This window comes from Homo sapiens, chromosome 8 (assembly GCF_000001405.40).
Source record: "Homo sapiens chromosome 8, GRCh38.p14 Primary Assembly".
Lineage (NCBI taxonomy): Eukaryota > Metazoa > Chordata > Mammalia > Primates > Hominidae > Homo > Homo sapiens.
Window position 1 is genome coordinate 55,370,732 of NC_000008.11, and position 25,325 is coordinate 55,396,056.

The following is a 25,325-nucleotide window of genomic DNA, read 5'->3' on the forward strand; positions in this document are numbered from 1 at the left end:
AGCTCCTCCCTGCCAGGAGCTGGAAAATTCCGTCGAGATGCAAAAACAAGCGTGGCAGCATGATGGGGGCAGCACTCCAGGGCACTTGCACATTCCTTCCCAACACAGTGGAACCACCATACTCAGCACAGAGCAGGCGATCCTGGGTGTTTGTTGAATAGAAGCAAGAATGGACGCCTGGTATGTGACAAAGCCCTATGCTAGGCAAGACAGATACAAAGACACAGCCCCCTGCTCTCCAAAATTTCAGTCTAATGGAAAAGAGAGACCAAAACCTTATTAGAAGTCAATGTGCTGTGTCCTAGTGGTGGTCACTTTGAGGTCCTTTGGTGACACAGAGCAATCTCGTATGCAAAATGGTACAAGGGAAGTAGCAATGCCATGCTATTGATGTTTGAAGGAGGAGGACATCAGGGAGTGTAGAATCAGGAAAGTTTTTGTGAAAATAGTGGCTTTGAGCTGGGCCACAAATTATGCCCAATACTTTGTCAGGAAAAATGATATTCTGTAAGGAAAAGATAGCAATGTGAACAAAACCAGACTGGGGATGCCATATGTGCCCGTGTCTGTGCAGCAATGCTGGTGATCAGTCTCCACAAAGCAATGGAATTGCTGATGTTATTGGCAGCACGTAATTAGATTTATTCCCAACACTTGAAAGAGGTGTTGGGTATCAGAGTAAATCCTTGCATATATACTTTTAAAGTACCACAACCTATTTTCCTGTATTTCTGACTTTTGAGTCTGTCTTTGCATTGTTCAATACTTGGGATACTTGGGAATATCAGTAAATAGATCAATAAAATAGTAAACCACTAGTCTGCTTAATCAATACATTTATGGAGTTCAATTTTAAAGACTCATCACCAACAACTTCATAAGGAAAGAATCACAAAACTCACTGGTGTGTTGGCCATATGGCTCCACTTTATTTAAAAGTACTGGCAGAATAAATGATGGTTGTCGTGGAGGTAATGATATTATTGATCTCTTTATTTCACATTCAGTAGTCTCTTGAGTCATGGTACCACCCCAAGTTATACTTAGAAGAACAGAAAGAAGTTTCTTCTACTTATCATTGATTCAAGTGCTTGAAATCAGCTCTATGGTATATCAACCCCCAGCACAGCTGTGAATAGCTTTGAAGTTGAATCATTTTGAACATAATATGAAATAAGGGGCCTGACTATTTTTAGGTTCTACTTAATTATCTCCAATAATCAAGCACAAATCTTGGTATTTTTCCACTCAGTATTTCTCCTCTCTCCTGCCTCTCCTTCCCTCTGAGGTGTGGTGAGCACACAGACATGTTCAGGCACAGGGAGAGGAGCGGGGTCATGGATGTGGTGGACAGTGTAATTAGTCACGTGCTATGGCTATGGGAAGAGGAGAGCTGGAGGAAAGATCTAGAGCAGTCAGTTCAATCCTGTTTGGAACAAAGAAGCATCAATAAGGAGCTGTCTGCAAGGAATGGTGCCCCAAACACTGGCTGCTTGTTGGCCTTTCCTGTGGTGTCTTCATTTGCCAACCTCTAACCTCCCCAAATTTCAGTAATGTGTTAGCACTTCACACCTTAGAGGAAACAGAAGCCCACATTTATCTGCCATTCACCTGACCTTTAGCCAGTGTGGGAACTTAGAGCTGACGTTTGCTTTGACTGAATATCAACACACTGTAATTATTATTTCTAAACACTAAAAATAACCATGTGAATGGTAATCAGAATGCTTGCTGAGCAAGGACAAAAGGAAAGACGGGTAAGGTCAACTTAATAAAAAATTCAAAAGTGTTTTACTATGGTACTTTCCCAGATAGCTTTTTTTTTTTTTTTTCTAGAAAGCCACAGACAGTTATAGGATCAGGATTTTGTGGCCCAATTTGGATTGGGTAGGTGGGTGGGTAAGGGAAGCTCCCACAACCTCTTAAATAGTTTTCACATCATGATGTGTATATTCTAGGGTATAAATATATTTTGCATTTATTCAGCAGATTGCTATTAGACTGATTTTAAAAGTATTCCTCAGAGAGGTAAGCTAATATTTTCTTGATGACTCAGCAGAACTTAAAAACCAGGATCACTTCCTACTGAGGGATTTTAAAACAGCTTTTTTCCCCCCAGGGTACTGCTCATACACAGGAGGGTATATGTGTGGAATAGAGACAGCCCTGCAAACTGTCAGAGCAGATGCAAGGGGGTTGGGAAGGAGAAGCTGATTCAATTGGTATGTAAACGTTTGTTAGGATAAAATCACATGGAGATTCACTCTTCAAAGCTCACAATGAGCCCTGATTGCAGAAGGACAGGGCCTGCTGAGCTCTGCCTGGCTAAGGTTTTGTCAGCACTTTCATTGTGATCTTAAATTTCCACAGCTCATAACTCAGCTGTAGAAAAAGTCTCAGAGACTACAAGACTAACAAGACTCGAAAACTACAAAAACTTTTGGGGTTTTTTTTAGATGGAGACTCACCCTGTCGTCTAGTCGGGAGTACAGTGGCGCGATCTTGGCTCACTGCACCCGCCACCTCCGGGGTTCAAGGGATTCTCCTGCCTCAGCCTCCTGAGTAGCTGGGATTACAGGCATGCACCACCACACCCAGCTAATGTTTGTATTTTTAGTAGAGATGGGGTTTCACCATGTTGGCCAGGCTGGTCTCAAACTCCTGACCTCAAGTGATCTACCCGCCTTGGCCTCCCAAAGTACTAGGATTACAGGCATGAACCACCGCACCTGGCCAACACTCCAAAAATATTTTAAACATCCATAGTATTACCGGTTCAAATGCTTGGGCAATTTGATGGGGCATGAACTTCCCTACACTAGGGTTGAAAAGTGGGAGTTTCCAGCATAGAGCCTTCAATGAAGGGGCACCTCCAGATATTTGTTATCTAAAACATTGAGTTAAAATTCATATTTTAAAAAATCTAAAATATATCCTCTATGATGTCAATGGAAAACAGGTATTTTTAACAAAGACTTTTGGAATAAATGGTAGAATAAGTAATTGCAAAACACTTTGTCACATCTTTTTAAAGAAATCAACACAGAAAAGCTGTTACAAAAACTATGTGAAGTAAGTTTTATTTTTTTTTTTAATGTTTTGTGAACACAGGAGATCTCTCTTTCAAATTCAGTTTGGCCAGGAAGTTTGATAGCAAAGGGAGTGAGTATTGAACCTTTCAGAATGAGTGCAGTGATTTCAAGTGTACAAATGCTTGGAGGGGAGATCAGATAAGAGCAGGTCAGGAAGTCGGAGAAGTGCGAGGTCTCTTACTCAGGCCAAGTGCGGTAGCACAGCCAAACCAGGAACAGGAGGGAATGATGTGAACTTGATCCTGAAACCCAAGGGTCCTGAAAAATCACTCCTTGTTCTCATCCAGCTACACACCTCCCAAAGACAGGCTGCAGTGTCTTCATCAAGACCTGAAGGAAATCTTCATTATTTAGTGTATATTACAAAATATAATAATGTATCACATTATTACGATAAACATGCAGTGGGCACCTATCCATGGCAGGCGCTGACTTGAATACTAGAAAGTGAGCATGACTAACACCATTCACCCTTGAAGGGCTTACAGCCTCATAAGGGGGAGCAGCATATGAATAAGTGCTTAAGTGGTCCTGGGTAGGCCCAGAGGTCAGTGGACACCCAAAGAGAGAAGTGACCGGTTCCACCTGGAGAGAGTGAGAGAGGATTTGCACACACTGTACCTCAAGCTGAGTTGATAGTTGAAGCAGGGAAAAATAGAAGAGACAACCTAGGGAGAGCTCATTGGAGAAGGCCAAGCGCAGAACTGGTAAAGTGAACCACCATTTAAGGGCCATAGTGGAGAAAGAGCCAGAGAAGAAAATAAGAGAGAGGTGGGTGTATTGGAATCATGTCTATTCCTTAACAGTCCTGCAACAGGAAGAGCATGGGGATGGGGAGTTTCCAAAGAAATGCCCTTGAGGGACCTGTGGAGATGAGAGCTGAAAAGAGCCTGATGGGTCTGACAATTCAGAGACCACAGGGGCACACAGCAGAACACATCAGTGCGAAGTTTAGGAAATAAATGAAGAATGCAAATTAGAGGAGAGGGCATCGTGGTAGCAAGGGTAGAATTTCTAGACTATAAAGGAAAGAATAAAACTAGTGAAGTGGCCCAGAGCACACGTTTTAGGACAGAGACATAAACCGAATGTGACTGTGGTGATGGAGCTGTGAAAAGCTGGTCATGGGAGATGCAGCAGGAGCACTTTTCCTGCCTCTTCCAGCAGTTTGCAGTAACAAGGGTGATGCCCCCAGCAACCAGCAATGGGTGGAGCTGCAACCAGGGCCTGTGCTCCAAGTTCCATCCCACCGGGAAAGGACCTCAGTTTGGAGGAATTCCATTGCCAGTGATCTTTGCTGTCTTCACACAGCGTGTGGCCTTGAGTGTGTGACTTCACGACACTGAGCCTTGGCTTTTCTGATTGGAAAATAATTTTAAAGATCTAAATTGCAGTGTTGTGTTAGAACAGAATAAAATAAACAATGTAAAGCACCTAAGCCATCTGACAACGGAGCGTGCACCACCTGCCCATGTCCTCCTCTGGCCTCCTCCTTGCCTGCCTCCAATGGATAAGGGGAAGAGCGCCCTCAGCCTCTGTCTAAATTTATCAGAAAAGAGTTCCCTCATTCACATTCTGTTTCTCTCCTAAATGGATGTGGACCAATTTAAACTCGTTTCACCTAACCTTGAGGTGAAATGTTACCTCTTCCTGCCCAAGGTCTTGGTCTGGGCTGAGCTCCTTGCCCTCTAGAGCCAGAGCTGACTGCACCTGCTGGCTCCTGTCCTCTCACCCAGGCTGCCCCCAAGGCCTGAAACCTCACGAATCTTCCAGCAAACAGCACTTAGACTTTGCTCTGTCCACTCACCTATATTTTTAGCACAGAATACTTTTAGCCTTGACATTTTTGAAAATAATATTTATGAGGAAATAAGATACATTTTCTTCTTTTTCTTTTTTTTTTTAAATATATTTTTTAAGTTCCAGGGTACACGTGCAGGATGTGCAGGTTTTTATACAGGTAGCAATGTGTGCCATGGTGGTTTGCTGCACCTGTCAACCCATCACCTAGGTATTAAGCCCCGCATGCGTTAGCTCTTTTCCCTGATGCGATCCCCCACACCCTCCCCTAACAGGCCCCAGTGTGTGTTGTTCCCTGCCATGTGTCCACGTGTTCTCATTGTTCAGCTCCCACTTATAAGTGAGAACATGCGGTGTTTGGTTTTCTGTTCCTATATTAGTTTGTTGAGAATAATGGCTTCCAGCTTCATCCATGACCCTACAAAGGACACAATCTCTTTCCTTTTTATGGCTGCATAGTATTACATGGTGTGTATGTACCACATTTTCTCTAACCGTTCTATCATTAATGGGCATTTGGGTTGATTCCATGTCTTTGCTATTGTGAATAGTCCTGCAGTGAACATACATGTGCATGTATCTTTGCAATATAATGATTTATATTCCTTTGGGTATATACCTAGTAATGGGATTGCTGGGTAAAATGGTATTTCTGGTTCTAGGTCTTTGAGGAATCACCACACTGTCTTCCACATGGTTGAACTAATTTACATTCCCACCAACAACGTAAAAGCATTCCTATTTCTCTGCAACCTCACCAGTATCTGCTATTTCTTGACTTTTTAATCATCATCATTCTGATTGGCATGAGATAGTATCTCATTGTGGTATTGATTTGCCTTTCTCTAATGATCAGTGATGTTGAGCTTTTTTTAAGTTTATTGGCCACATGTATGTCTTTTTTTGAGAAGTGTCTGTTCATGTTCTTTGCCCACTTTTTAATGGGGTTGTTTGTTTTTTTCTTGTAAATTTGCTTAAGTTCTTTGTAGATTCTGGATATTAGACTTTTGTCAGATGGATAGACATCAACTTCAATCCATTAAATGTGAAAACTAATCTTTTTTCTCACAAGCTCATCTGTATCATATGTGTGGAGATATTTCCTACAGTTCTGGGAAAGTATAGGATTCCTAAAACTGGTGGCCATATTTTAATGATGTTAGAGGCAGTCTGCACTGAGTGCATATCATTAATTCTAATAAATGAGTCATCAAAAGTCATTATATTTCTTTCTATTTTCTCATCTCTCACCCTCTCTCTCTCTCTCTCTGTCTCTCTGTCTCTACCTCTCTCTCCATACCCCTCTCCATACACACACACAAACACACACTCACACACACACACACACACACAGAGAGAGAGAGAGAGACGGACCCACAAATATACCTGGTGTAACAGGCACAGACTTTCTCAAGCTGTAACACAATATTTGCGAGTTATAATGCCTGATGACAATGGCACTTGTCCCCGCCACCACCACCACCTGGAAAATGAAAGAAGTCTGCAGGTTGCCTCCTCCAGTGAGTTTTGAGGCTCTCAATGGAAACTTGAGTCAAAAAACCCTTGCTGGAAATCTTGTCTCCACCACTTAGTAACTTTCACCTGTGGTGCACTCCTCTACTTCTCTGCATCTGCTTCCTTATCAAAGGAGTGGGGATAGTAACCCATACCTCATAGGCAGGCACCTGGGAGAATTTGCTGAGACAATGTGAAGGGTGGATGCTCTGTCTCATACCTGATATTGGCAGGTACCCAAGAAGTATCTTTTCCTCTTTGTCACATAGGGAATATTTAGCTCTGATGTGTTAGTACAGATTTCAAAGGAACAGACCATTTACAATCCACAGTATCTACCTTACAGCCAAGGCAGCGCTAGCAAATAATCTCAGAAAATGAGTGAGGAATACCTCACTGCTTTTTCCCTTAAGGAGCAACAAAAGAAAGAGGAAAAGAGGGAAACAGGGGAGAGAGAAAGGGAGGAAGGAAGAAGGAAAGGAAAGGAGAGAAGGAGGAAGGAAAAAACCTGAACAACTTGAAATAGGAAAAGTCAGAGAAAAACCCCAGAACACCGTGAGTTGGTTTTGCCTGCATGTCGTGAGGCCACCTTGATGTTCCCTCCCTTGCTACTTGTAAGGACATCTATAGGCTGTGCCTGCGCCTTGTGAATACAGGAGAAAATATGAACAGTAATCTGATATAATCAGACCCCAGAAAGGCACTTCTGGAAACACTAATTAGATTTTCTTCAACCTTGTTTAATTTAGTGAGTTCTAGGAGAAGATCACACCTCTCCTAACACTCATAAAGAGAATTTGTGAGGAAGATTGTGTGCGCGTAATACCTATTCGATGCTCGAGGCAACCTGTTGCCATAGTACCAATCAGATGCTGTCTTCATCGGGGGAATAGAAATTAAAAGTAACAGGGCTTGAGTACAAATGTTTTTGTTTGTCCCCATGAACAGTGTGAATGTTGGGAAAAGGAGATCTGGTCTTGTTGTTATTTTCTGGTTTTGAAACAAGACTACATTAACATGTGTAGAATATGAAATAGTACAATGAATTTAGAGAAACAAAGAATTCCCAAAGAAGTGCATTATTCTTATAAATTTACACTATCAAAGGATGTGGAAATGCCAAAAAAGCAAGTTCTTAATGGTCAGAGTCAGCAGTGTCATCTCAGAGCCAAAGAGAGCTGTCAGTGGCTAATAACGTGCAAATGCAAGATTCGTCTGAATGCTAACTGGCTATTTTTATTGCCTTAGAATTCTGATCTTATATTAAGAGCTATAAAATATCCATTGTGCTTTGGGGAACATCTGTGCATCTGGGTCTCATAATAAAAGAAATATTGAAAATCAAGAGAGGTAGCTTGCTATGGAGAAAAACAAGAGTACGATTAACATGAAATTCAGGAAAGTGGTTGCCTGTGGGAATGAGGCGGAGGGAGGAAGAAGTTTCATAGACATTGGTAATATTTAATTTCTTAAGTGGAAGGGCATTTTATTCTGTTCAAAACTGCACATAGAAATTGCCTATACTCACAATAAAAACTTACATAAAAAGGTGGAGAGAGAGACAGAAATGGAGAATGGGAAGTCAATGGACAGAAGGCAGTGGATTCAAGCCCTGACTCTATGATTCTCTAGCTAAGGGAATGAGCGCATGTCTTACCTTGGCAGAGACTCAGTTTTCTCATCATCTAATATTTTAATACAAATATTAAATGGTCCCAACACCCCCTTCTAGCTTGAACACTAGCCAACTCTATGTATATCACATGGAATACAATATTGCCAAATGAATCATGTTGGGGAAATACTGTCTTTTCTTCATGTAAAAACAAAAACTCCCACAGTCACCATCCAGTCATCCATAACAGCTTACTAGCTGTGTGTGAGTTACTCTCTTATTCCAGGTGAACCCTCATGAGTAACCCTGCTGTTCTTTGAGCAGAATTTTGGAGCTTCTTTTTAGAAGGAAGATATCATTAAGTCAGTGATAGGGCTTACAGTCTGGGGGTCAGATATCCTGCTGGTGGCCGGGAAGAAGACTCCACACTCTTCTCTCTGTCAGCTCATCATGTCAGCTCCTCTGAATGCAAAATATCAACATAATGCACTCAAGAGGCATGTCATTATTTCTTGCTCATCAATTGTGCATCAAATGCTGTCAGGTGCTTCATAGTCCATCCCCCAATACCAAAAAATTACCAAATTTACCAAATTACAAAAAAATACCTCTACTTTTCAGGACTAGGATACTCACCATACCAATTAGAAATGTTTCAAAGAAATGCTCTTTTTAGTTTGCAACATCAGGAAGCTAGAAACATCCTCTTTCCTCATGCATTCAACGCGTTTTTGCAGAATGCCTACTGTGGGCAAGTCCCATGCTGGCTACCGGTTTCTACTTAATTTCTCAGAGCACAGACATGAGATGTGATTACAACAAATGCGCTCTGGGGCATTGCAGCATTTCCCGGGTGCTGGTGTTCACTTGTTCTTCAGATTTGTATGTCCAAGGAGAGCAGATAGAACCAGGCTGCTGTCACCCTGCTTCTGGTTTTGTTGCAGGCTGGGGTCCAGCGGAATCAGGATGCACTTTGTTTGGCCCCAACCAGCTCCTCACTCCACCCGGAGCATAGGGTTCCAGGGCATCTTCGGGTGGGTCCTGGGGCAGAGGCCCTCCCCTCCAGAGGCTGTGGGAGAACCGACCATCCAGGCTGGTGCACCAAGCTCTGAAAACTGGAACAGATTTCTCAGCCTTTCTGAGACTTCATTTATTTCTCTGAAATGGGAAACTACCTCAAGTGTTATGAGCACTGTCAACACTTCTTATAGCTTATTATGACATCATGCACGTTAAGGCATTGAGCTCAAAGCCAGGCACTTAATTCTGACTCAAAAACACATTTGTGCTTCCTCTTCCTGTTCTAACATAATTAAACACACAGTCCCGTGGCAAAGGGAAATTGCCTGTCCCTGCTGTCTGAATGCTCCATTGGTTCTGATGAGAGACTGACTTGAGAAACATTGGCAACATCTGTTTCTCTCAAATATGTGCTAGCATCCTTGAGAAATCATAGGTTTTAGGCACACACTTAAATGAAGGGGAATAAGGTTGGGCACCAAATGTGCTGTGGCATCCTGGGAAAAAAATCAGAAGACCGAAGTCAACAGGAAGCAAATCTGAAAGCAATTCTGCCATGTTTCCTATCATAACCCCCTTCAAAAAGAGTTTAGTGTAAGGAGTGCAAGAGTGCAAGACACTCTCATAATAACCAAAATTATCCAGCAAAGACATGTTCATTTTAAATGTTGAAAGAGAAAGGAAACCCCTCAGGAAATTAAGTTTGAGTTCCATGACATCTTTCTTCTTATGCAGACATTGAGACAACAACAAGAACATTCAGTCTGTTTGAGCTTTCAGCTACTGTATTTTTCCATTTCATTCATTCTTAGTTATTTTTAATGTTTTCAATTTATTCAGAGAACTAATAAGTGATTTATTATGGGAAACTAAGTAGGGTTTACACCCAAATGCCAAGAGAGAAACTAAATTCTATCCACTAAGTCACCAAAAGAAGTGCCTCTTATCAACTCACCCTGTGTGTTTCTAGGACAGGAACCTGCTACTGATTTCGCAGATGTATCTTTGTTGTCTCTAGTAACTGCTCTGTGCTTAGCACCTACTGTTAATTCACGCAGTTGACCTATAACCAAACACTGAAAAGGTGATGTATGCATTTGATAAAAGAGTCAAACTAGGTCATCTCTGAATCTCAGATTGAAAGTAAGTAAAACCATGTTTATTTCAGTTTATAAAATGTTTTATTAATACTCTATCTTCTTTGGTGGATCTAATATTTAGGTAACAGTTTTCCTTTAAAACAATTTCACATCTAAGAATAAATTAGATGCTGATGCATTAAATGTCCGCTTCAAGAGACTTGGCAATATATACATTATATATAGTCAAAAATAAAGTCAGGAATAAAAAATCCAGATTTATTGGAGATGATGAAAAGTAATTATTTTCATTTCAAGATGAAAAAATTAAAATTAAATATGATGTATTTCAGATCTTAGCTTTTATATTTTACCATTCTATTGTCGATTCCAAATTATTTTCCTTCGCCTCTTTCTTTTAACTGAGAAAACTTTTATCTTTGTTGCCAAGGCACATAATTTGGAATCAACAAGGTGTTTAAGTTTCTAAATATGAGAGATGGGATTTATTAGGGAAATTGGCTCACACAATTATGGAGGCTAAAAGGTCCCACTCTAGGCTGTCTGCAAGCTGAAGAACCAGGAAAGTGGACAGTGTAGCTCAGCCAGGGCCAAAGGCCTGAGAACCTTGAGGGACCATTGGTGCAAGTCCTGGAGTTGAAAGGCCATGGAATCTGGACTTTTGATGTCCGAGGGGAGGAGAAGGGTGTCCCAGCCTCAGAAAAGGCAGTGAATTGACCTTTCCACTGCCTTTTTGTTCTATCTGGACCCCCAGCCAATTGGGTGGAAGCCACCCACATTGAGAGCAGATCTCCACCACTGAGACCATGGACCGACGTGCTGTTCTCCTCCAGAAACACCCTCATAGACATACCAGGAAATAATGCTTTGCCAGCTATCCAGATATCCCTTAATTAAGTCAAGTTGCCACCTAAGATTATGACATCGCACTGTAGCATCATTTCATAGAAACACTTCCCCCTCTATCACATCTCTTTCTATACCCACACATGGAATGTGTATTCTTATTCTCATTTCCCAAATTGAGGGTGCGGGGGCACTGAGATCCAGGAGGTTAAATGCCAGGACTAAGGGGAGAGGCCACATCAGGATCAGAAAGAGACCTTATGTTTTGTCTTCCAGTTATGTTGTGTTTCTATTCTAAAGCTTCTCCCAAAAAATTAAATCTTATGCAAATTTTAAATACTACAATTAAAGGAAAGAGTTATGTTTGAAGGCTTTATAACATTGTAATTGGAGATGCCTTTGTCAAATTTTCCCATTTTAAATGGCCAGGAAAAACAATAATTATTTTTCTGATGCTGAGGTTTTATATCTTAGTAGAAGAACTTAAACTATGACTTGTATTCAAGTCTAACAGGAATAGAGGTAATGAATGAAAGTAGTCATTGACCTGGGACAAGATCACTTTGAACATGACACTATTATACAAAGTGTAATATTTATTTTTAAACAACCACTTTTCAAAAGCAGTTGTGCATACATTCCAAAGAATAAAATGCTAGCTACTAGGTTTTGAGAAGCAGAATAAAATATGATACTGAATTACTGAAGGGTGATAAATTTGGGCCGATATGGCTGAGGTGGTTTGTTTTAGAGTTTATAGCAATAAAGGTAATCAGGTGATTCTTAATGTTGCCAGAGTACTGCAGTGGAACTACTAAAGGAAGGAGAAAGGGAGGGTATTTAAAAAGTTCAGATCTTTGATTCTGGAAAATCTCAACTAGGTATTAATTCTATTGATAACTGATAAGCATCTTAAGGGGGGGAAATTCGTCTGTTAAAAAGTCTGTTACAGAAGGTTGGGTGGATGCCCAAATAATACCAAGCTTTATCAGCTTATATTCTGGAGAGTAGTTCCATTTATCAATACTTGATTTCTTTTTAGCATCTGGTTTTTTTTTAACTATTCAGGATTTTAGGTATACGGTCTCATTAATTTCCAAAATATTCTTATGGATAGGTGAATTACAGGGAGAGTCCAATGTGTAGATATCTATGTACCACAGACCCAGGCACATTTGGGTGAGTAAATGAATGAACACATGTTCAAACTAAAACAGACTGAGGCCGGGCGTGGTGTAATCCCAGCACTTTGGGAGGCTGAGGCGGGTGGATCATTTGAAGTTAGGAGTTTGAGACCAGCCTGGCCCACAGTGTGAAACCCCGTTTCTACTAAAAATACAAAAATTAGCCGGGTGTGGTGGTGCACTCCTGTAATCCCAGCTACTCAGAAGGCTGAGGCAGGAGAATCGCTTGAACCTGGGAGGCAGAAGTTGCAGTAAGCTGAGATCTCGCCACTGCACTCCAGCCTGGATGACAGAGGGAGACTCCGTCTCAAAAAATAACAATGAAAAATGAATAAATAAATAAAAGAGACTGAAAGCACAGTTGCATTTGATGCGGCCTTTGCAAAGACCTAGCCTTTGATCTACCTAATTACATCTCTGACCTGAAGAGGTTTCTTATACATCCCAAGTCTCATGTGCAGTTTCTGATTCTCAGTACATATAGCAAAGAGCAACAGGAACTGCTGGGGGCCTAGAAGAAGGACAAGGAGAAGGAGAGGAAATCACTCAGCTGAGTATACGGGGAACCGTTAAGTTAATCCTGGTTTAGGCATTCTGATTATGTAGAAGAGCAGGAATTTGGGTGTTTGGCTTTTAATTTTTTGGAATTTTTAGGCAAATTCGCATTATAATTTGAAATTTGCTAAAATGATTGACAGATATTAAATGGTTAACATTTCTGAAATGATCCAATTTTTCTAATAATTAGAACAGTGTTCTAATTGTTCATGTATTAATTTCATTTAATCCTCCCAGTGGCCTTTAAAGTTCCATTATTATCCCAATCTTATATCTGAGTCTGCTTAGAAGATTGGGTAGATCCTTTATTATCCCAATGTCACTTATAAGGAAACAGAGGTGCAGAAAAATAACTTGTCTAAGGTTATAGGAAGAAAAAGGACAGAACCAGGATTCATATTCAGACAATCTGGCTCCCGAGACACAGCATATGTACCCTTCTACACAATACGGCAAATCATGTTTACTCAGAAATAGTCCCACGTTCTGGCTTATATTTTAATATATTATTAGTAAGGGGAGGCATCAAGTGAGAATTTGGAAGCTTAATCTGCAAGTCTCCCTTTTGAGTTGTCCTAGGTATCGTCGCATCATTTTTGGACACACAGAATGTGATTGCAGAAAAGGGAGACACTAGAGGTGAGGACTTTTCGAGAGAAGGAAACAGCACATGGCAAAGCACAGGACGTGTTTCAGGAAGGACAATCTGTCCTGTGTGCCTACAGGTGGTGAATGAGGGTCAAGACAGGAGCTCGGAGGCTAAGTTTGGAAGAATGTGTTGGAGTCGGGTCTTCCTTCAGGCAGGAAAAGGCATGAGCAAAACCAGGAAAAACATTTTTTCACTTTCTGCAGGAAAGGAAAATGTGTGCTGGGAAAAATGTGTAAGATAGCAAATGTGTTATTTATTTTTTATTATTTTATTGACTGTGTTTAACTTGTCAGATTATGGTTAGAGTAAGAATGGCTGCAGGCTTGGAACAAAAATGTCCTAGAAATAGTAGCCTACTAACTTACCATCTGAACTGCTGAAATATTTTTACCAGGGGAGAAAAAAAATAGCCAAACGTTAGATTGAGAAATGGCAGTTCCAAGCAAGGACTCTCCTTTTTTTGCTGTGTTTGTTTTTAACCGAATCATTGGCTAGAATCACTCAAAAAGCTAAGTTTATTCTGACTGGGGGAGAAGGTCCCTGAACACAGTGAGGTGGAGACATTGACCTACAAATTAATAAACAGGGAATTAGGAATAATGATAGTAAATGTAAGCTGTCAAGAAAACCAACCCAAGCCAGTAGCTGAGAGCAAATCCAATGTGCCTCTAAAAGCATCCATCAGTCTCCAATGTGTGTTTATAAGGCAATCATTCTGACTCTTTAGCAAATACACTCAACTTACAAATTTCAAATATTTTTGGCACCCAAAACAGGTTCCATGGATGAGCTCAGTGATTTATTCTCATGGCTAAAAATACAGCAGGGACTCCTCTTTGAGAATGGCCATCGTAACTAGTGACCATTCTTTTGAATGGCCTTAATACAACAATAGTGTAGCCTCTTTTTTTCAAAGTAGGTATAATTTTTGGAAAATGTCAAGAAAATACAGATTTAAGTCAGGTAAAGAAGGATGCTCTACATTGGCAATATGCTCTAAGGGCAGCTAAAATTTGTGATTATAAAGAAAGATATAGGAGTCATTGACAACATCATATGCTGGTTCTGAAGGCCTTACTATTCCTCTCAGGCCCTGCCTACTCTCCGCCTCATCTTTCTTGTTTTCCCATCACACCCCACTTGACAAATACCACCTATGCAAAGGCTGCGGACAGGCTTCAGAACTCCAGCCTGTGTGGACATCTACTTACTGTTTCCTGGGGCTCACCCTGCGCTCCTCCCATTTTCGTCTGGCACATCCTCCCCTTCAAGAATTTGCACATATATCACCTCCTTTCTGTGAAGCTGTCTCTGAGCCTCCGCACATACCTTACTCTTCCCTTCCCCGCTAAGCCATATGCTTCTGAAAGTCAAGCATCATGCTTTATTTATCTTCAGCTGTATCTATAGCTTCTACAGAGTACCTAGCCCATAAGTATTCAATATCTACTGAATAAGTGAATGAAATAATTTAATTCCAGAGACAGCTCAGCAAAGTAACATCATGGAATAGAGTAGATAGAGCAGGCTTCCAAGAAAATTGCTTTGAAATATCGGTCATTAGAGATTTCATGTGTACATTTTGGTATATTTGTTTTAAAAAATTGGATCCATCTTTGGAGTCTCACCTTTTAGAAAGTACATAGCACATTAGAAATACATTGCACTCATATGCAAATATTTTGCTTAACCTGTTAGAAAGAACCATGAGGAGAGACATTCCATTATACCAACAAAAAGAACACCAAACAAAAAGAACTGGCAATTAAAGTGATAGGAATAAAAATGTGTTTTATGGCTCCTAATTCTTTGTGTTGTCTTTATTTTTTTTCTGTTAATTGCTTAGATATTTCATATGTATAATTTTAAAAATCCTTTTAAAATCATTTTATCCAAAGTGTATTTAAAATGAGTCTGAAGGCAGAAGACAGAGTCTGAAGCCCTGTGAAATGGAATACACCTGTGCCTAATGAAATGTCAAGACATCAAAATGCTTATCCATTTTGTAGGACGAGGAGACAGCAAATAATCACCACCATGATCTGAAACATCCATGATGTTTCATTTAGTAATATTCACATCCTCGGGGAGCCCTTCCTGGGATCAGGGGAGAGTCTTGCATCACCACCTCGTGAGTTCCTGGGTCCCTCGCGGAGTCTTCCCCAGAGTCCACTGCATGCATGATATCCACACGGGATGCAGCAAGCCTGAGAGTCCCTGCAAAGGGAGTTCTGGCCCTGATCTTTTATCGTGGCTGCTTGCTTCCAGTAGTTATTTAGCACACCCCACAAAGTACTGATGAAAGCCATTTTTATAAAAGTCTTACCTAATGGTTTGGATATGGCTGAGCCAGAAAGACGTTCATTCAAATAACCGCCAGGCAGATTGACACCTGTTGCAATGTGTTCCCGCGTTCCTAATTGAGGATTCAATAAGAAGTTTCTGTAGGTTAAAGTTCTACCCAGTATTGCCAAAATGGAGATTGGGAAGGTATTTCCACACCTGCTGCCATTGAAACAATTTGCTTTTAATATATCATGGAATGTAGTAGCGAAGAGGAGATAAGTCTGCAGCTGGAAAAATGAAGCCTCTGGATCCCTGCATTGTACAATGGGAAGTGGGAGTACAGGCCAGTGGACTTAATGCACCTCGTTTTAAATTGACAGGACTAGCTTTTCTAACACATTTATTTTCTTTTGTTTTTAAACAGATTTTCATCTAGGAAGAAACTTCATTATAACATTTATTATGTATCTTAGTCCCTCACTTCTAAAAAATCCAGATCTGATACATTGTATCATATAACAAATGTCTATTGCTTGTGCAGTTATTAACAATACTATATGTTGCATAAAATACTATGCAAGTCACAGACACTTTATATCTTAGTCTTAATGTGGCAGCTTTCTAGTTATTTTAGCTGGGCTCTCTTTGTCTCTTTCCCTGATCTCCCCAGTAAGCTTCCAGGTCCGCTTCTGTAGTATCACACCTGGCTGTTAGCCTCTGCTAATTACCAGCTGATTGCTGTACTGTTTTTGACAACACCCTGTGCATAAAGTACCCTATGGTCTGATCTGATTAAAGTTGTAAGGCATTGCTTGTCTTTGAGGCTGCTCTGACTCCAGGAGCACTCTTCTCAGCCCTCTGGGCTGTCCTTGGCTCTCTGTAAAACCTCCTGGGGATCTGCCATTTCACTCTTGCTGTGACTATCGTGGATCACCTTCTTTATTGCTCACCACCAAGATCTACATTGGTTTTGACAGTGCCCTTAGGCATGAACTTCCACATTCTCTGTTACAGATAAAGTTTGTCCCCTTTGGCAGAGATGCTGGAGCTCTTTCTTCTTATGCCTTGCCTCTTTCCCTAGGCAGAATCTGTGTACTACTTCCCTAGGGCTAGGGCTGTGGTCAGCAACCTGCTTCTCCCACAATGACTCCCCTGCTCCATTAACTGGGGCTCTGGGTAGGAAGGGTAGACCCTAGTCTTCTCAGCTTGCTCCTCCCCAGAAGGACATAGACCTTCTGCCCTCTGAGTGAGCTGGGGCTAGGGAGACCAGGGCCCAGTATTCTCAGCCAGCTGCCTTGCTACTACAAGTGGGAGACTGGTGGGAGAGGGGAACCACATCCTCTTGGCTGTACCCACATGCAACCCAAAACTGGGAGTAATGAGACAGGCCAATAGCCTGTCCCTCTCAGGGTGAACTGTAGCTCTAGACTGAGAGCCAAGAGGAGATGGAGCCCCATCTCTGTTCCCACTCAGAATGGAACTTCTGTCACACTGAGCTGAGAGATGGGAGGGTGATATGAGCAGGTCGTGACTTAAGTGTCACTGTGTCTTATTGTTCTCACAGAGATTTAGTAGATTTTCTTGAATAGATGCTTCACTACTTGGTGTTGTAAGTTAGGACAATTATCAGATTTTAACAGTAATTTTTTAAAAAATAATTTTCAGTAGTTAAATGGTTGTTTCACTAGGGAGGGGGTCTGCTGGGCTCCTAACTCTGCCATTTAGGAAGTCAATCTCTTTCTACTTTTAAATGTTTGCAACCAGGGCAGCCTAAACATTTACCTTCTTTTCATTGCAGGTTCAGAACAATGTCATTTAATATTAACCAATTTGTTGTTTTCTAAATTATAGGTATCCTGGCATCTCAACAAGATAATTTCCTTTTAAGGCCAAAAATGTCTTATTCATAATGACATATTCTCAAAAGGCTGTTTCTGGAATAAAAAAGAGCAACTTTTTACTCTTAAATTTTTACTATTGACAGATGTCTTGATCCATTCAGGCTACTATAAAAATATACCATAGACTGGATAGCTTATAAATAGCAGAAATTTATTTTTCACAGTTCCAGAGGCTGGGAAGTTCAAGATGAAAGCACAGCAGTTTCAGTGTATGGTGAGGCTGGTTCCTCATTCATAAGTGGTGCCTTCTTGCTTTGTCCTCCTGTGGCAGAGAGCAGAAAGAGGGGAAGCAAGCTCCCTCATGTCTCTTTGTATAAGGGCACTCATCTCATTTATGAGGGCGTTACCTCCATGACCTAATCACCTCCCAAAGGCCCCACTTCCTAGGAATTAGGACTTCCACGTATGAGTTTGAGAGGACACAACCATTCAGTCCTTAGCAATGGACTTCCTTAGCTACATCCAACTCATAGGACAATTAAAGGATAGTGAGCTCTACTAATTCCCTATTCAGATCTGTTATCCTCGGCTTACACTCAAGCATTTAATGACACGTAATTGATGATCTCTCCACTAAGACTTCTGTTATGGGTTGAATTGTGACACCACAAAATATGCCTGAGTCTTATGCCTCAGCACCTCAGAATGGGACCTTATTCACAAATAGGTTCCTTGCAGATATAATTAGCTAAGATGAGGTGATCAGGGTGGGGGATCATAATTTAATATAACAGGTCTTCTTTTAAAAAGGGGCAATTTGGACACATGAACACGAACATGCACACACAGGGAGAGAGACACGTGAAGACTGTTGTCTCGCTGCCACCAGCTAGGGAAATACCAGAAGCTGGGAAGGAGGCCTGAAACAGATCCTTCTCCAGCACTTCCAAAGAGTGCGTGGCCCTGCAGGCACCTTGGTACTGGACTTCCAGCCTCCAGAACTGTGAGACAATAAATTTCTGTTGTTGAAGTCACACAGTCTGTGGTATTTGGTTACAGTAGCCCCAGAAAACTAATATATTCTCAGCCTGATAGGAAATGATTTCTTGCTAGCTAATATGTCACTCCAAGTTTCCTGTAACCTATGCAGAATTTATATAATGTTCAGAAGGCCCCAGATTATTATAAAACTAATATTTTACAATAAAGAGCAATATAAGATGAAGACTACATACTGGCTAATGGATTATATTTGTCTCGTGGAATCCATCAGAAAATGATTGGAAGAAGTGCATTTTAATATGAAATTTCAAGGGAAGATGGAATAAATCAATGGCAAATAGTGAAGAAGGAATACAGATATACCATCCACGTGAGAAAAATAAAGTCAGAGCTAGATTGTTATCTCCTGTAGCCTCTACTCCAGAGTCTCGCAATCATTTACTCATTTAACAAATATTTATTGAGTACCCCCAGTTTGCCAGACTCTTGTAGTCTCAGTGCTTATTAAACATCTGTGGAAATGAAGTGAAGTTATAAGCCTGTCTTTAAGTCCCTGGCAACACACTCCCTTCTCTGCTTAGTTACTGCTATTTTCAGGTACTTGGAAACACATCCGTGTCCTCAGGTTCCTAGTGCCTACTGGAGCCCACACAGCTAATATTTCTCTTTCCCCCTCTCTGACCCAAGACTCACGTCAATGTTCCTGCCCAGGGCTGATTCTAGGTTCTAATTGTTATATGGATGTTGTTCAGAGGCCTCTGAAATGCCCCTCAGTCCTAAGGGGAAATGCTAACGGGAAAAAACAAACTTTAACAAATGGAAACTGGCCCGTGGTTATCTCAATTTCCAGTAAGTTTGTCTGTAAGGCCAAAAGATAAACTTAACAACACATTTGTGAGCATGTGGAGGCTTCTGGCTAAGGTTTATTTAAAAACAAAAAGAAAATCTATTTCTTTCTCTAGTTAACTTCTTGACCTTAGATTTCTAGTGATGTTCCTGTGAATCTCATCAAAAAACTGAGGAAGTTAGGTTAATGGTATCATTTGCCAATTTCAATTTAACATTTATGATTAGCAATGGAAAGCCTAATAAATACAATTTTTATATCAGAAAGGAATTACAGTCTTTGTCCTTTATATTTGCTCTTTCATTAGAAGACTCTGAAAAGGGTTTTTTACAAAGTAAATGCTGCATTTTTGTTCCATCAACATACATCATAGTTTACATCAATTGATTGTTTTTCTCTAACATATAGGAAACCTTAATGTTGTAAGTACCTGTAAAACCGACTCTTAGTAACTTTCTCCCTCCATTAGAAGCTGTATTTGCCTAAGTTTAGACTGTGGGCAGCAGGGCTAGAATCTCATTTTGCTAAAGCTCAGTACTGGGCACTTTGGTGTTAGTGTTTGAATCACTTTCTCACATACTGATTATAAAACGAGGTTTTGCTTTCTCCCTGCTGCTGTTTTTCATGCACCATCTTCTGGCCCTGAATCACCTGGCACTGGTTTCTTCCCTGTACCTGGGCAGTGGCCTTGACAATGACTTTGTTCGCTGTACATTGCCAAGTGCACTGGGAGATTTACTTACCTGAGAGAGACCCAGAATATAGTTTTAGAAAAAAGAGACTTCAAAGCCATTCTCATCTCCTTCTTATCCTGCTACCAAATTGTTAAATGTAAAAATAAATTTCAGTTTTATAATTGGCAAGTTATATGGTGAGTTTGATTAAATGCTTTACTCTAAGGAATCAAAAACTTTTACAACATTCTCTGCTGACATATGAAACACAAAAAAAATGGTTTGCATTCCTTACAATAAGAGAAACTGGATCAAAACTACACTAAGATATTCCTGTAACATTGACAGAGGTCCGAATGTCTCACAACATTCTCTTTCTGGGAGGCAGTGAAGAAACAGGAGCTCCCATGTATGGCTGATGGGATGCCACATGACCCCATGGAGTCATACCTCAGAAAGTTACAGGTGCATTCTTCCCTGGCCCGGAAACCCTTCTCAGAGTCTACCCTAAAGATACACCTCCCACAAATGAAGTGATATTTACACAAGTTTATTCATTGTAGCTTTATTATAACAACAAAAATTGGAATCAGCCCAAATGTCCACCACTAAGGAACTAGTTGAATAAATTCTTATATAGCTACACAGTGGAGCATAATGTACGTTTAAAAAGAAAAGAAAAAGAGAAAGAAATCTGTGTTCCAATTGGAGCAATTTCTAGGATATATTGTTAAAAACTGCAAAATTCAAAGAAAAATATGTATGGTATATATCCTTTATGTGAAGAAAAATACACATACACACACATTCTTATGTTTGCAAAAGCAAACACTAAAAGGGTAAACCAAAATAAAGAATATACAAAAGAATAGGAAGTAGGAATGAAAGGATACTTCTCTAAATATACTTTGTTATATAAATTTGACTTTAGAAATATATATTTTCCATATTCAAAACATAAAAAACAAAATATAACTATACCTAAAATATTAAAATAAGCATATGAATTTATCTATAGGCCAAGTTAATGACATAACTACAAAGAAATGACTTGTTTCAAATGTTTTAAACCAGTGTTTTGGCTATACTAACTTAGTGAGACATATTCTAAAGAAAAATAGAGACGCAAAGAAGATCTTACACTTTAATAGTCAATTTTGTAGTTGTAATATTACTATCGATCATTTTGTAACTCTCCTATATAGGGTGTAGGATGGTGGAAATAAGTAATTTTGTTAATGTTGTTAGGAACCAAGGCTATCAGTGTAAAATGAAGGAGTTACAAGCATAAGATGAAAGAAGGTAAGTAAAAAGCTCATTAGTATAGTTCAAGTTTAACTTGTCAGGATGAGCTCATGATTTTTTTCCTGAAGCTTTGTGTTTTGTATGGATGTCCTCTAAAAAGGCATGGAAAAAATGACAACCCAACTGCAATGAACACACCAATAGTCCTGATTGTCAAATGCAGGCATCACTCACTACTGAGAGAGGGCTCCTTGGAGGAATGGTGGGTTCCCAGGCCAGGGGAGGAAATACACAGGCTGAGACTGGAGCATCTTACTGTCCCAGAAAGCAAAGAGGCTACCAAAGACTCATAGGTCACATTAAAAGAAAACCAAAGCCAACACAAAGGGACTTTGGCCAAAGATGAGACAATGTTTTTTAAAAAGACAATTAATTAATTGACTGGAACACATTAAATATATTTTTTAAAAAGTACATTCGAGTTACTATTAAAAATTAAAAGAGGCCGAGCATGGTGGTTCACGCCTATAATCCCAGCACTTTGGGAGGCTGAGGCGGGTAGATTGCTTGAGGCTAGGAGTTTGAGACCAGCCTGGACAATATAGCCAAACCCTATTTCTACAAAAAGTACAAAAATTAGCCAGGTGTGGTGGCGCATGCCTATAGTCCCAGCTATTCAGGAGGCTGAGGTAGAAGGATCATTTGAGCCTAAGAAGCAGAGGTTACAGTGAGCTGAGATTGAACCACTGCACTCCAGCCTGGGCAAAAGAGCCAGACCCTTTCTCAAATAAATAAATAAATATCAATGAATAAACAAGGAAAAGTTCAAAAGAGGGGAAGAGTGGACCTTATTCAACATTTTGGAATTAACTAGGGTACCAACTTTTTACTCCGAAAGTTGGCAATTAAAAGTTAAGAAGTAAGCATTTATCTTGCCTTTCCTGTAAGCACTGAATGCAGGGTAACCAAATTCCCCTGTTGATGAGGGGAAGTTCTTATTAAAAAAAAATTCAGCCAATAAATCTGGAAAGAATAATAGAATTAGAAGCATCATCATTTTAAAATGCCAAATAAAATAATGGATTTAGCAAGGATCATTAAATGGATGAAGCCATTTGATGAAAGATTGATGAGAAACTTCTTGATGTGAAGATCAGACTGTCTTCGAATCATAAAAAGTGAGACAAGGTGTCATATGTCTCCTAAAATAATGCACTATGAAGGAGACATCAACATCTCTTCTTCAGAAAATAACAAAAATATAATTGAGTTACATTTCACCACAAAGAATCAAGCAGAAAATCGTAAAATATGGGATTTCTAAAGGATAATTGGTCTCATTTCTCTTCTGAAGTACATAAGAATAGAATGACATATGGCTGGAATATACTTCTTAAGAAGGAAGGAAGGAAGGAAGGAAGGAAGGAAGGAAGGAAGGAAGGAAGGAAGGAAGAAAGGAAGGAAATAAGTGAAACAATTGTGGCAAAAATATTCATAATAGTTGAAGCTATATGATGGCTATATGGGGGCTTATTATACTAACCTTTCTGCTTTTGTTTGGTTTGAAATCTTAGTAAAAAGTTAAGAAAATGTTTTGTTATATGAAATATAGAAATCTGGGAGCAATTTGGCCTGCTCAACCATCCACAATACAGTTGTAGGCAGCATGATAACTGGCAAGGAAGTTAGGGCCAGAAGTCATCAAGCTGGCTACTAGTTTCAGCTGAAAATCCTAAACATAGAAGTTGAGTTGGTAATAATAAACAAACGTCCCTTTTAAAGACATTGAGTCATCTTAAAGCACTACCCATAAAACATAAATGCCTCCTTTTTCCAAGTAAATAAATGAGATCCAGAATTTTCTCTTCTTTCAAAAAGTCGAGATTGTGCCCATGAGCCTGTCTGAGTAATTCCCTTCTGCCCAAGACAGTTCATCACCAAGTGGAGCTCTAGAATGATGCCTTTATAGGAACAATGAGGATTAACGATGAAAGCAGACCCTGACCATGAGAAGTTTAACTGGAAATGTAGAACAAATGCAATAAATCGATGTAAGAAAACAAAAATAATCTCTCAATTTGGTAGCCAAAATGATAAAACTCAACTGCTTTTTTGAAGCCCAAGAAAACCTAATTCTCAAAAGAAAACCAAACCAATTTTTACATTCACTATTAATTTTAACTAGCTCACCTTCATTCAGTCTCTCTTGGATATTAGTTATGCGCTATCGATATAAGAATGAAGATTGGCATCTTCATTGATGATTCAATGATGTCTGCAAGGAGCTTACTGCCTAATTAGGTATGTAGTCATCTGAGTAACTAACTAGAGGAGGTCCTTAGTATTTGAGGAAAATTAATGCCAAAGAAGAACAAGTTACAATAGCTCTCATAAGAGCCAAACCTCATAGAGCTAAAAAAGTTATCTTTATTTTGAAAAATAAAACTAAGCATTATGAAAATACATTTGTTTTATTATATTTAATAAGACATGGTTTTGACTTACACCGTACACTGATTCATAGAACAAATAATTACACATTGATGGAGGGTATGGGCATCATCTTATCAACAGTTTATATACTGGCATGGCGAAATATCTTTCACTTCCTCTTTGGCTTTCACAGCATGCTCATAAAGAGAGTTATTTAAACACACACACAAGTTTCACCAGCTATTCCATAAGCATTTCTTACTCAATTCTCTTCAAATCATTCTCTCTAGGAGGAGCTACCATGACATTAATTATCACTTTTAGATTTTTTCTTCAATTATCTGGCCTTCATACACTGATTTTCACTTTTCTTGCTTGTGATTTAGAGTTCCCCAGCATCACCAGCATCGGTTTAATCAACTTCATGAAATTCTCCATCTTTTCATCTTCATTTTGTAATCACTTTGCATTGAAATGCCATCCAAAAATCAGCTAGGCTTTCCAGCAGATACTACCAAGATAGTATTAGTCAGGGAGGCATGATTGAGGGAGCTAATTGTGTAAGTGGTCAATTTATTGATAATATTTTACTTCTCTGTGGAGTGCTATAATTATAATGCCTGGGATTATGAATATTCAGGTAATGAGACCTCTTGAATAATCAAAGCAATAGTGTGCAATCTTTCCACCTCAGGGAGGTAGCGAATCACTGAGGAGCTTTATGAAGTGATTTTGGGAGAAGGAAAGGAAAGTTAGGAATTGTTCGAGGAAACTCCTCAAATAATTGTGACAAGCACCTCTTCCCATGAGAACCACTGAGGAAGATGGGGCACATGCTCTGGGAGCTCAAGTTGATTGGATCGGGGCTCACGCTGCATTCCCATGGAGAAAGCAGCACATGAATGGACAGTTTGCAAGCAGAGAATGGAGGCAGAGAGAGTCCAGGAAAGGCATGACCATGAAGTAGAAAAGTGAGGAATTGATTGAGAAATCATAAGTCATGTGGCGTCATGAGAGCACAGGATGTGTACCAGGGTGCAGTCAAACAGAAGGCTGGGGAAGCAGATGGACCCAGCCCACAGGCCATCTAGAGAGACAGAATAAGGAGTCTGGAATTCATAGATAGGTGATGGGAAATCAGTGAGGGTCTTTGAGAGGAGAATGGCCTGTCATTCACCTGCAGAAAGATGGTCATTCACCAGAATGTGTGGGACAAGTGGGCTGGAAAAGCAAGTGATGAGGACGGAGAACAAGTTGGGAGGCTTTTAGGTAGATGGGGCCCATCTTGCCTACACTAGGTCTAGGTGGAAAGCTGGAAGCTGAGCCATCATCCAGGAGGTATGACCTAAGGAACAGTGAAAAAACTGCCTTAAATCTTAGTCTGTTCTGGCGGCTACAACAAATCACCATGGACTGGGTGGCTTCAACAACAGACATTTATTTCTCACAGTTCTCAAGACTGGACAGTCCATGGTATTGAAAAACCCACTGTCTGCTGAGGGCCCACTTTCTGGTTTACAGGCAGCCTTCTCACTATATCCTCACATGGAGGAGAGCAGAGAGAGAGGAAGTGGGTTCCCTCCTGTCTCTTTTTATAAGGAGAGTCATCCCATTCATG

At 40.1% G+C, this 25,325-nt stretch overlaps 1 protein-coding gene across 1 annotated transcript in view, besides 2 other annotated features; it reads left to right on the plus strand.

The window, feature by feature from the left end:
- Positions 1–25,325, plus strand: part of XKR4 (XK related 4) — a 440,027-nt gene that overhangs the window by 268,704 nt on the left and 145,998 nt on the right. The gene's annotated exons all lie outside the window — the stretch shown is intronic.
- Positions 1,745–2,371: an enhancer, noted in NCBI's record as "OCT4-NANOG-H3K27ac hESC enhancer chr8:56285036-56285662 (GRCh37/hg19 assembly coordinates)". NCBI's record gives its function as "activates a minimal SCP1, AML or CMV promoter by ChIP-STARR-seq in naive and primed H9 embryonic stem cells {active_cell/tissue: H9 hESC(naive and primed)}" and the evidence as "EXISTENCE:reporter gene assay evidence [ECO:0000049][PMID:30033119]".
- Positions 2,372–2,997: an enhancer, noted in NCBI's record as "OCT4-NANOG-H3K27ac hESC enhancer chr8:56285663-56286288 (GRCh37/hg19 assembly coordinates)". NCBI's record gives its function as "activates a minimal SCP1, AML or CMV promoter by ChIP-STARR-seq in naive and primed H9 embryonic stem cells {active_cell/tissue: H9 hESC(naive and primed)}" and the evidence as "EXISTENCE:reporter gene assay evidence [ECO:0000049][PMID:30033119]".